General features: G+C 39.1%; 1 pseudogene; it reads right to left on the reverse strand.

Moving 5' to 3' along the window:
- Positions 210-5,401, reverse strand: BDP1P (B double prime 1 pseudogene; annotated as a pseudogene).

Raw genomic sequence — 13,531 nt, forward strand, 5'->3', positions numbered from 1 at the left:
TTCAAAAATTTCTGTCAATCTGTTCTTTGGTCCCTTGGTTATTTAGAAGTGTGCTTTTGATTTCCAGGTACTCGGGGATTTAAAAATGTGTTTTCTGGGTTTTTTTTAACTTTTAGTTCTAATAGTTTTTCCTTCGTGTATGTTGGAGCTCTGTTAGGTGTATGCTCATTTAAGATTCTTACGTTTTCTTGATTACTTTATCCTTTTTTTGGTATAAAATAACTTTTATTTACATAATTTATATGTATACATATATATAACATAACTGATTTCTTTAGAACAAGAAAATTTATAAATGACATGATTTTTTTTTTGTCAAAGACTTCTTCAAGCAAGAGAGTACACATGCCACTTCTGTTTCAAATAACATGATGGTAAACAATGGATATTAATATTTTTGTCGTGCCTCAACCATTTACCAACAATTAGGCGTCAAACCCGCATGCTGATCACTTGCTAATGCGTAAGTGTTCAGGAGAAAAAATCAAGAACAGATAAAAACCTGTAATCATATCTCCTTTAAGATTTATGAAATAAATTCTTTGCAACATCTTCTTTACATGAATCAGGCCTAACATAGTTCTTGCCACCATGTAAGGTGAATACACTGATTAACTTTCTCTTTTCCAAAATTAGGTTTAAGGATATAATGGTAGGATAATTTAGCCGGCTGACTTGATTCTCTAGTACAATGAGTCCCTGTATTCTTTATATAGCAAGAAATTCTATCTTCCATAAAACTAGTTTATTATAGATTAAAAAGAGACAGTTGTTAAAGTTAAAAATTATTATTACACAAGGATAAATAATACTTTAATCATGGCAATCTGACTCCCAAACTAACATTAAGAGAAAGAAATCTCTTCAGAATATGAGTTTTAAAAACTTACAAAAACAGGGTATTAAAATAGCAATGTGATTTACTGCCATGATTTCTCTGACATATTAATCACGAAATAAATGCCTACTTGTAGACAGTTTCCACTCAGAATCATATAGCCTCCTCTCTGACAAAATGATAAGCCGTGAATTTCACTAAAAGACAATGAGAAAGAAGTGCTCTAACAGCAGTAGTTTCAATAAATTAGCATTACTATTATACCTGCTGAGACATAATTCTCTTCTATTAAGGAATTTAAAAACTGGCCACCATTTTTTCCATATACAAACGTAATTATCTAGACTCTAAAATATCTTCCTAATTGAAATACTGATCATTACATAATACAATGAACACAGTTCTAACTTTTAGGCACAACTCGTAACTTCAGTGACAAATAACTCTTACATACAGACATCAGCACCTTAGGGTAAGAAAATTTGGGGTCTAATATAGCAGTCAAACTAAAAGGCCAATCCAGCCACAGTCCTTCATTCAAATACTGTCTATGGCTTCTTTCACACTGAAATTGCAGAGCTGAGTAGCTGCCAGATAGACCATCTGGCCTGCAAACCCAAAATAGTTTGCAGAAAGTTTCCAACTGCTGAGCTAATATATTACCAATCTAAGAGGCTTTTCAAACAAAATCAGAGTAAATTTGCTTTTTGAGAAGTCTAATGGGAACCACTACAGATCTGCTTGGGTAGATCATAGAATTACATGTGTCAGTCATCAAATCTGGAAATTAAAACCTTAAATTCATATTGATGATAATCACTAACTTTATTTTTTTTTTTATTATTATACTTTAAGTTCTAGGGTACATGTGCACAACGGGCAGGTTTGTTACATATGTATACATGTGCCGTGTTGGTGTGCTGCACCCATTAACTGGTCATTTACATTAGGTATTTCTCCTAATGCTATCCCTACCCCCTCCCCCTCACCCCACGTCAGGCCTCGCTGTGTGATGTTCCCCACCGTGTGTCCAAGTGTTCTCACTGTTCAATTCCCACCTATGAGTGAGAACATGTGGTAAGTCTTATTTTCTATTTTTAACATCACGATTGTGTTCCATGCTTAAAGATCTAAGTGTTTCTTGAGAATTTAATGGTAAAAACACTATGAAGAAATTGGCTTTTAAAAACTAATATATGTCTGTGTGTGTATAAAGGAGATTGCATTTTCTATGAAAATTTGTCTCATAAAGTTGAGTTTCCCCTACCCTCATGAAAATCCTGAGAATATCCCAGAAATAAGAAAAACAGAAAAATTCACAGTACAAAGTCAATACACTAATCTGAGGGAAAAAAGATATTCCAAACACATACTAGCCAAACATTTTTAGTTATATCATTTTAAATATATTTAAAATTAAAGAGAAAAAGGAGACAAACATAAAATTGTTAATGCCTTCTTCATCTATAATCTGAGGGGTGAAAATAGCTAAAACTGAATATCCTTTCAAATAAAAAATGTAAAAATAAATAAGCTCTTTGTTGTGTCATCTTTATAAATAATTATGTTTAAATACTAGTTTTTCAATTAGGACTAATGTTACATCACCATAAACTGAAAAAATATGTATTTTTCAGTCAGACAAACAGCTGATAATAGAAAAGTTCTTTAACATTTACCCTACGAAAGCGGAGTTTGACAATTTGTTTTCATGTACAGTCATGTGTCCCTTAATTATATGTTCTAAGAAATGCCTTGTTAGGTGATCTTGTGTGGAACGACGCAGAGTGTACTTACAAACACGGTGATGTACAGACTGCTACACACCCTACAGTCCGAGGCTATGCGGTATAGCCTATTGCCCCTTGGCTACAAACCTCTATAGCATGTTACTATGCTTAATACTGTAGGCAGTTGTAACACAATAGGAAGTATCCGTGTATCTAAACATGTCTAAACATAAAAGAGCAACGCACTGTGTTATGATGGATATAATGTCACTAGATGATAGGAATTTTTTATCTCCATTTTAATTGTATGGGACCGCTGTCATATATGTGGTCCGTCATTGACTTAAACATCATTATGCGAAAAATGACTGTACTTAGAAGCAACTGAAATGGCCTTCATCCTTCATCATCTTCCTCTAAACGTAAAAATAAAAAAATCTTCACAAAGGAAGTTTCTAAACATTAAATATGATACAATCAACCCCCAAATCTGTGTGCACTGCAGTTCATAGAGAGACATACATCCACAACATTCCCAAATGTCCATGTGTGCTTAGCGCAGGAAGAGTCAAAATGTGAACAAGAGCTGTTATTTCTGTCTGAGAAAGCAGTCTTAATTGCTTGCTATTTGCAAAATGCTAAATCAATCAGAATGAAAGGAACCTCAGAAATGTTTTCCACTGATTACAAAAGCTTCAAATCAAGCTCATTAAATATTCAAAATCAACCTAAAGAAAAATAGACAGCGATGTTTTGCTCTAAATACTGTTTTGTTGATGTAATTGACTCTGGAAATCCTAGATTTAATTTAAAAAAGAAAAAGACAAAAGATTGTTTTATTCTGTTTCATCCACTTTAATGAAGACATCATTGAAGAAATATTCAGAGACTGTGGTTGGCTTCCATTTAGGGGCCCGCTTTTGGCCACTTTTATGTCCTTTCAGCAAGGGCTGATCACAAAAAAATTGGTTGCTGAGTTGCTAATATTCTCAGATTGAGTATTAATAACACTTGGAGATGCAAGCGGATCAGAGGACTCTTGCTTCTTTTCTGGCTTTCATTGGATGGATTGAATCTTTTCAGATTCTGTCTTAATGCAGGGATAAGAGGCTTTAGGCGATTCTTACTATGGACCTGAGTAGGTCTGTCAGACTCCAAACTATTCTTTGAACATATGAAAGATAAAAATCCCAGGGATCTTCTGCCAGGTCTGGATAGTGGGCTTTTGAAGATGGTGTTCTGCTGTCCATTTGCTCAGACTTAGGAGCAGCAACAGTTCTTTCTTCCTTATCAGACACAATCATTTCATTCTGAGGTAACCGAGGCACATTCTTGTCCATGCATGTATCGGGAGATCTAGATCCTGTACTCTGAAAAGTTGGTTCGACTTGCACTTTTTGAGGTTCTGGAGTTGTCAATGTGCTTCCTGAGGTAGGAAAAATATCTTGTCCCTTGTGAGACTCCCCTGTTTCCTCAAAAACATTTGTTAATTCCTTTGAGCGCACCTCAGAGGTCTATGCTTGACAATCATCTCTTAAAGTGAGTGAACAGTTTTTGGCAGGAGGAACGTGGTCATTTTCACCAAGCCTGCAAAGAAATCTCTTCCTAGATACAAGATCCAAATTATCAGAAAGCTTTTTAGAAGAGCTATCTCTTACAGAAATGGATAAACCCATGTCATCTTGACCAACTGAAGTTGCTGGTAAACACTCATGCCACCCCTTTCTTCAGTATTCATTGATTTGACCAATATGGAAGCTGGCAGTAAAGGGTTTGGCATTAACTGTGCAGTGGCTTCGGTTATTTCTTCTACTCTCCATTAGTTTAATGGAGAAAGTAAAGGAGATTGGTTGGGATTTCCACCAGAGTTAAAATAAATGCTTTTTCATCTTCTCCATCTCGAGGTACAGTAGCAACTAGAGTCACTGTTAGGTCTTGAGGACTGATTATATTTTCTTGTTGGACTTCTGGAATACTTCTTGGTGTTTACCCTGGCACAGGAAGTGTAAGCACGTTGTCTCCTTTAGAGGCCTTCATCTGGGGCACTGCAACAAGATTTTCACCAGACCCCTCTCCAAACCAAGTGTGCGGGGCCCTGTCTCAGAGGAAGAAATTGGAGCAACTGACAACATGTGAGCCTCTTGAGAGCTCTCTTCTTGATTCTTATTTCTCTCAGTTAGGTTTACTTCTTGAGAAATACTGGTCCCTTTGATACCATGTATGCGTGCCAATTTGCTCTGTTCTTTATTCTCTGCTGTTGTAACTGGTCAGAGGTTTTTATCTTCCAATTCTGTTGCTTTGGAAGCATTTGTCTCTGTTTCCCTTTGAGTTTCCAGTTCTTCCCCTTTGGTTACACAGAAACTGGAAACTTCCTGTTAATCATCAAACCTGTTGGTCCCTAAAATCTTCTCAAGATTTGGTTTAGGCTTGGCAAATCTACTTCTTATTCTCAAATTACTGGTCACTTTAGAAGTTGTATTCCTGGTTAGTGTAGCATTCTCCTTTACTTTCTCCATTAAACTAATTTCTTCTCTGGAACTTTGTTCCTCCAATACAATCTTGTTTTCTTCAAATGATGAGGGAGATGTCATAATGACAGGTGAAGAGAGCTCCTGACATTCATGAACAATTTTGTGTTTTATATTATCTAGGCTAAAAGGAATATTGGCTTTTATTCTTTGAATGAACATGAGGAAGTATACATACTCCTACATCACCCTGTTCAGTACTGATTTCTGACTTTAATACTAGATCTCCCATTGTAAGTAAAGTTATTGCAGCTTCGGTGCTTCCATCGTTGGTACCTGGTCCATCTTGGATATGTTCACCTGTGTGTGTGTGTGTGTGTGTGTGTGTGTTTTATCCCTGGTAACTTTTTTGTTCTAAACTTGGTTTGTTTTTATATTAATAGTGACACTCTAGTTTTCTTTTGCATTGTGGATACTTGTCCTTCCATTTACTTTTAATATACCTATACCGTTATACTTAAGGTAATTTTTCTTAAGAGAGAATACAGTTGGATCTTGTTTTTTTTTTAAGTAAACCCAGCAATTTCTGTCTTTTAGTGTGTTTAGATCACTTAATTTAATTATTGAAATGAATGTGTTTAGACCTACCATTTTATTATTTTATTTTTATTCTTTTTTATTTTTCTGACCTCCTTTCCTTGCTTTCTTTTTTATTATTTGAACCTTTACATGTATATGTATTTTCCTGTTGGTTCTTTTTTTCTGGGGATCTCTGACTAATTCATTTTTTTTTCTTTTTTCAACATCAGTTTTGCTTTCAAAGCCTTTGCTCTGTTGTTTAGCAATATTTTCCGAGTTTTAGCCACTGTCCTTGGCACACAGTGCTGTTGACTGGTCCTACCTGCAGGGTAAAGCAAGGAGAGAAAATAAATAGAAAAAAAAGGATTTTTATCCTCCTCAATCTGTATACAACTGGAGCTTCCTTTTATGGTTCTTCTCTTTAATGGATAGATTTTCTATTATGGTTTATATGTAGTGCAGCTCTGTAACTGAGGCAGCCCTCATGGCAGTCCTGGAGAGAGAGAGACAGAGAGGGAGAGAGAGAAAGAGAGACAGAGGGAGAGAGAGAGAGAGGAAAAATAATTTCTCCCATTCTCTGGAGGCCCATTGTCCCAGTTCTTTGTTGCTAAGGGCACTCTTTTTTTTTTTTTTTATCATTATTATACTTTAAGTTCTAGGGTACATGTCCACAATGTGCAGGTTTGTTACATATGTATCCATGGGCCATGTTGGTGTGCTGCACCCATTAACTCGTCATTTACATTAGGTACATCTCCTAATGCTATCCCTCCCCACTCCCCCCACCTCATGACAGGCTCTGGTGTGTGATGTTCCCCTTCCTGTGAAGGACACTCTTTTCTTAAGATTTTGTTGTCCATTTGTATTGTTCAGTGGCCTGCCTTAGCTACCCTAGGCTTGGGTCAAAGCTGGAGATAAAAACACAAAGCAAACAAAACAAAACAGAAAAAAAACAAGAAATGAACTGTGGTCTGCTTGCTGTTATTTTTGATATATCAGTATTTGTATTTTGTTTGTGGTTTTTGGTTGCACTTTGTGGTATCCATAGTTTGCAGTGAGTTACCCCATTTTGGGTGGAGTTAGAAACTTGAATCCTTTATTTTTTAAAAATTATTTAGCAATTTGGGATTATTTCACAACTCTAAAGCAATGAATCATTGAAATTATTTCTGAATCTTTAGTGACACCTTACTTCTAAGGAAAATCCATGAAATGTGTTAAGTGTAGAATGAGGAAATTTTGTTTTCAGTTTTTATGACATCACCAATGTAATAATTTTCCAAAACAAAGAAACACCGTATTTCTTACATTTGAAAATTGTTTTCTCTGACTACAATAAAATGATAGATAAATCAGTGTGAATACAAGTAATTAATGCCTTTAGAGAGATGAACAAGGAACAACTACTTGGCTGGAAAGCTCTTGTTGAGTGGATGGCTGCTATTAGCACAGAGGCTGAAGATGCTTAGTTTACATGTATTCTTTTCCTTCTGTTCTAATAAATGCCACAAAACAATATTAAGTAGCATAATCTACTAGTGCAGTATGGAACATACATCTTGTGGAAATACATTGCCCAAAGGAGGCATTATATGGTCCATAAAATAAAATAAAACGAAACAATAAAAGAGAAACAACTAATGATTTCACATCTGAACTACAGTGTTTTCTGTCTTTAAGGCTAATATAGAGTTTTATGATGATAATTTTCAGACCATTATATATATTTTCATGTATATTTATAATAAATAGTAGTGCTAAAAGCCCTTTTACATACAGTGGGTTAAATTAGGTTTAATGTATATTCCAGAAACAAGGTAATAAAATGAGTTCATTCCAGACCCCCTATAAAATCAGTGATATAGCATCTTACCTCATGATCAAACCTGGCAACAGAGAGCCTAGCCCTAAAACACACAAGGAGATTCTTTTAACAAACAACAGTGCTTGCCTTTTAAAAATACATAATTTCAACTTTTATTTTAGATACAGGGGGTTGTGTAGGTTTGTTACATGGGTATATGACGTGATGCTGAGGTTTGGGGTACAAATGATCCTGTCACCCAGGCAGTGAGTACAGTACCCAAGAGGTAGTTTTTAAACCCATCCCCCACTCCTTTCCTCTCTTCTCTAGAAGTCTGCAGTGTCTGCTGTTCTCAGCTTTATGTCCCTGTGTGCTCAATGTTTATCTCCCACTTATAAGTGAGAACATGTGGTATTTGGTTTTCTGTCCTGCATTCATTATTTTAGGGTTATGGCTTCCACCTACATCCATGTTGCTGCAAAGAACATGATTTCATTCTTTTCATGGCTGTGTAGTATTCCATGATGTATAAGTACCATATTTTCTTTACTCAGTCCACTATTGATGATGGGCACCTAGGCTGATTCTGTATCTTTGCTATTGTAAATAATTCTGTGATGAACATGGAGAATCTTGTCTTTTTGGTAAAATGATTTATTTTCTTTTGGATATATACCCAGTAATGGAATTTCTGGCTTGAATAGTAGCTCTGTTTTAGTTATTTGATAAATCTCCAAACTGCTTTCCACAGTGGCTGAACTAACTTACAGTGTGTAAGCATTTCCTTTTCTCTGCAGCCTTGCAAGCATCCGTTACTATTTGACCTTTTAATAATAGCCATTCTGTCTGGTGTGAGATGATATCTCATGGTGGTTTTGATTTGCATTTCTCTGGGCATTAGTTACGATGAACATTTTTTCATATGTTTGTTGGCTGCTTGTATTTCTTCTTTTGAGAAGTGTCTGCTTATGACCTTTTCTTATTTTAGACTCACATGTTGTTAACCTGCCCCATGTAACAAGCAAACTGTGAAAAGCTTTCAGGTGCTCAATACATAAGTGTATGAAGGTACCAAAAGCAACATCATAAACATAATGATTTAACTCACTGAAAACAAAAATTCATGTATTCAGTGTCAGTTTTAATTTTGATAAAAAATTTGTTTAAAGAATAACAAAATGTTACTATTTTTCAAATGATGATAATTGTCACTTTTAGATTAAATGATGTATAATAGTATATCATATATTAATGGAAGATATGATTTGACATGAAATCAAGCTTAGTCCATGAAAATCAAGGTTTGTTTTTTTTTTTAAATAGTAAACCATGTTCAAATAGAATTTATTTTGTAAATGTAAGAATGTCTAGGCCGGGCGCAGTGGCTCACGCCTGTAATCCCAGCACTTTGGGAGGCCGAGACGTGCTGATCACGAGGTCAGGAGATCAAGAACATCCTGGCTAACATGGTAAAACCCTGTCTCTACTAAAAAATAAAAATAAAAAAAAATTAGCTGGGCATGGTGGCAGGCGCCTGTAGTCCCAGCTACTCGGGAGACTGAGGCAGGAGAATGGTGTGAACCCGGGAGGTGGAGCTTGCAGTGAGCTGAGATTGAGCCACTGCACTCCAGCCTGGGCAACGCAGCGAGACTCCGTCTCAAAAGAAAAAGATAAAATAAAAATAATAAAATAAAAAATTAAAAGAATGTCTTAAAGTTAGGATATATCTTATATTATTCATTATTATTGTCTTTGGAGAAAAAAATATCATCACATAAACCCTGACCAGGTATTTAAAAAATATCCGGCATTAAAAAAAATCTATCCTCGATAAATAAACCCATGATAGAAAGATCAATTTTTTTTAAAAAAAAGGAGAATGTAAACATATCTCAAAGCCTAATTTGTTAGTTTATAAATATGGTAATAACCAAAGCTTGCACAGTTCTTGAAGAGTATGGGCTAGGTACCAGGTAGATATCAGAATAGAAAGATGAATAAGATCTCATGTCTGCTTTTGAGAAGCTTGACCTGCAGATTCTTACAGTCCAAGTTTTGCTGTGGTTTGTGAATGGAGTAGCAGGATCACAGAAGAAGGAATCATCTCTGCTGACTTTTAGAGAGGATGTTCTGTAATGAAGATATTAGTTTTCTAATTATCATGGTACTTAATATCACTTTTTTGCAAAGATAAATTACTAAAGACTGGTAAACTAGGTCAATTGCAGTGGCTCATGCCTGTAATCCCAGATGTGAGCCACTGCAATTGGGAGGCCGAGGCAGGAGGATTGCTTGAGTCAGGAGTTTGAGTCTAGCCTGGGCAATATAGTGAGACCTTGTCTCTATAAAAAATGCAAAACAAAAAAAAATAGTAGCCAGATGTGTAATGCATGCCTGTGGTCTCAGCTACTTGGGAGGCTGAGGTGGGAGGTTCGCTTGAGCCAAGGAGGTTGAGGATGCAGTGAGCTGAGATTGCACCACTGCACTCCAGCCTGGGCAACAGAGCAAGACCCTCTCTCAAAAACCAAAGCAAACCAAATCAAATTAAAACAAATAAAAACACTTGAAACTTAGCAGAGCCAACAAATGCACAGCATCTTGTATAGATTTTTAGCTTCCAGCACTAATAAGGCCATCCTGGAAGGGTGATCCTCCATGTTTTCTACATAATGGTTTCAATGTGCTCACTGGTTTGAGTACTGAGTAGGTTCTCATTTGCGTGACCTCTCCTGATTTTGAATTGTAATAATAAAATAATTGTGTCATATTTTCCACTGTGAAGTTCCCCATGTGGTTGAACATAAAAAGCATTATTGGAGATTTCCACTTGTAACCAGGGAAACTCAATTAGGTTTTACCTTTAATTTTTTATGTTGTTGTGGTTGGTATAATGAAAAGGTCGTCCAAGCCTTTGAAACAGAAGTGCTCGTCTTGGCTCTTTCTGTCTTTGTGGAATCCTTGCCCTGTCTGTGTCTAAGGAACGCTGCCATTTTGTGGATCAGAGCACGTAAAAAGCCAAATAAATAAGAAAAACTGTTTGAATGTCATGTTTCTCCCCAAGCAGTAACATTAATGTGTTTATATAATAAGCACATTTACCAAATTTGCTTATTGAGGCACCTCCTGCAGGTGTGACCCTGTGACAGTGTTGGATGCCCCAGGATCCCTCACAGGTCTTCTGATGGATGCATGAACTGGCAGGGCGAGGGAACCCAGTCCCAAGGGGACGTCCATGAACCTGGCAGGGCGAGGGAACCCAGTCCCAAGGGGACGTCCTTGACCAAGGGCAAACAGAGCCTGCAGATTAGCACTCCCCTCCCAGGCGCTCAGATGGGGCAGTGACTTGCATGCTCATGGCCCTGCACGGTGCCCTGGTCCATGAAACCCTGGTTCTTGCAGAAGAGACCAGCTCCATCACACACTCTTGCACTCTTGTTCTTCCTCTGCTGTTTTGCTCTTCCTCCTCCCTCAGGTCTGCAGTCCCCTGAATCCATGCTGTTCATTCTATCCAGGCTCCAGCACCCCTCCCTGCCTCCGTGGACCAGTTGCTGCCACAGCCCACACGTGGACTGACCACAAAGCCACAGGTCTCCAGTTAGAGAGGGGTCCTCAGAGAACATTCTCCTGATGTCCTCTGAGCAGTGCCTCTCTGTTTCACGGGCTCCTAACACCCCACGTGTCTCCTTTGTAGAACTCATCACAGTTCTGGAAATGCGCTCATGCTTCCTGCTCTATCCACGGCACAAGCACTCTGTCTTTCCCATCACGCAGTAGACAATCAATAATTACTGCCCAATACATGGACAGATGGGCTTTCAATTTGATTCCCTCCCTTCAATCATGCCCACTGTAGAATCATCCTCCATATTGCAGCGAGTCATCCATTCAAAACCCAGCCCTGCTCACAGGGCTCCCTTGCTGTCCCTCCTCAGGGCATCTTTACTAGCTGCAAAGGCCTCTCCCGGAGAAGCCTCACACCCGTCAGGGTCTCCTCCCCACCGTGCCCCCAGGAACCTCTGCATGCACTAGGCATCTTCATCCATCTACCTTGGCTCTTCCATCTCAGACTCTGGATGACCCTTGGTAGCTTTTACTTTCCTGGTTACCCTCAATCACTCGGCAGTAAATGCCTCTTTGCACCTTTAACGTGAAGATGCGCGTCCCACTCAGTGACTCCCTAACATCTTTAAAAATAATTCCATAGGTTATTGGGGAACAGGTGGTGTTTACTTACAGGAGTAAGTTCTTTAGTGGTGATTTGTGAGATTTTGGTGCACCCATTTCCCACAGTATACACTGAACCCAATTAGTAGTCTTTTATCTCTCACTCCCTTCCCACTCTTTCCCCGTAAGTCCCCAAGGCCCACTGTGTCACTCTTTTGGCTGTCTTATCACTGACCGCATTAGCTGGCAGTTATCAGTTTTTGTGTTAGTTTCCATAATAGACTCTGAGCTCTCCAAGGTGGATTCTTTGTTCCTTTTCCACACCTGCCTCCATCATCTAGCATGACACAGCAGGAGCTCTCCAGAGGCATCTTCTGGGTCAGGGTCTAATTTAGGTGAAGAGTGAACTGGACGGAATTAGAGTGTGGCCTCTAGAACAATAGTGCCAGGTCCTAGGCTATCAGCAAAGCTGGTGCTTGGCTGATTCCAGTGAGCTGGGGGAATTTTTCCAGCAACAGAAGGACCGTTTTTCCCAGATGGTAATTCTATTGCTCATCAGGGTTAAACACGTGCGATTCTGATTCTACATGTGCAGAAGGAGGTGCTGTGCACCTCTGGTGATACGTGGAAATCTAGCACACACTCAGTGGTGATTGCTGAGATTGGGTTCAGGGGCCATCCTGGAGCACCTGAATGCTTGGTGCATCTGCCATCTAAAAATGACAGGATTTCCCACCATGACATTGTGACATGTGTCTGCCTCTCTCACACTTTGGCATGGGACTGGACATGACTTATTATTTTCAATGAGACAAAATCGGTTGGAAAACAGGAATGAGGTGTTCTGTGTCTAGGTGGCTCTCGGGGAACTATTGCCATGGATGGAGCCTCTGGCACAGGACGTCCACCCTGCTGGATAAGCCTTATATTTGGTGGACACTGGCACAAGCAGGCAGTAAGGAGTCCAAAAGACAGTGACCAGACATAGCACAGGCTAAACAAAGGATGGTGGCCAGGAATCCAATGGCAGTGCTCACAGTTGCAAATGAGGAGTGGGGCTGCCCTGTGCCCTGGGTACCCTGCACAGTATAGCCATCGCGGGCATGGAGGGCTGTGGTCAGGAGCTTCGCCAGGGGAGGGCACGCTGGGCTCCGCGTGGAAAGGTGCAGGGGCGCAGGGAGCCCCTGTTTCTGGCTGAGGTTTCTGCTGGCTGCTGGAGCCGAGATTAAACACAGTGACAGTCACTTTCCACAACTCTGCGAAGGCAAAACCCCGTCTCTACTAAAAGTACAAAAATTAGCCAGTGGTGGTGGCAGGCACCTGTAATCCCAGCTACTTGGGAAGCTGAGGTGGGAGAATCGCTTGAACCTGGGAGGCAGAGTTTGCAGTGAGTCAAGATCACACCACTGCACTCCAGCCTGGGTGACAGAGCGAGACTCAGTCTCAAAAATAAAAATAAAAATAAAAATAAAAAAAAGATTTCGATGGTTCTATTTTTTTTATGGGAAGGAGATTCTGAAGATAAATAAGAGGTGACCCTGTTTCTGATAGGAAGTCGCCGGGGAAATGGTTGCCTGTGGGTTCTTGTTGCTGAACATGCTGGGCAGGTAGCATAGGGGAGAGGCTGTGACTGGGGACGTGATAAGAACAGACCCAAGAAGCAAAGTGAAAACCCAGCCGCAGGGTCAGCGCAGTACCCTCAGGTCAGTAACGTTACATCAGGGACTCCGTTGTTAAAACTCTACATGCGTTCACAAAACCCAAACTGCTGCATGAGAGGGGAAAGAGAGAAGCAATAGTGTAGTTTTTTTCTAAAAGGTTTGAGTCTGGATTATCCCATTAAAGATGACCTTGTTCTCTTTAACATTGCGCTATTTCCCTCCTAACTGAGGATTCACTACCCTCTTCCCAAGTTCTACAAACCTAAAAGGAATCATCACCCAGTTCC

This window comes from Homo sapiens, chromosome 18 (assembly GCF_000001405.40).
Source record: "Homo sapiens chromosome 18, GRCh38.p14 Primary Assembly".
Taxonomy (NCBI): domain Eukaryota; kingdom Metazoa; phylum Chordata; class Mammalia; order Primates; family Hominidae; genus Homo; species Homo sapiens.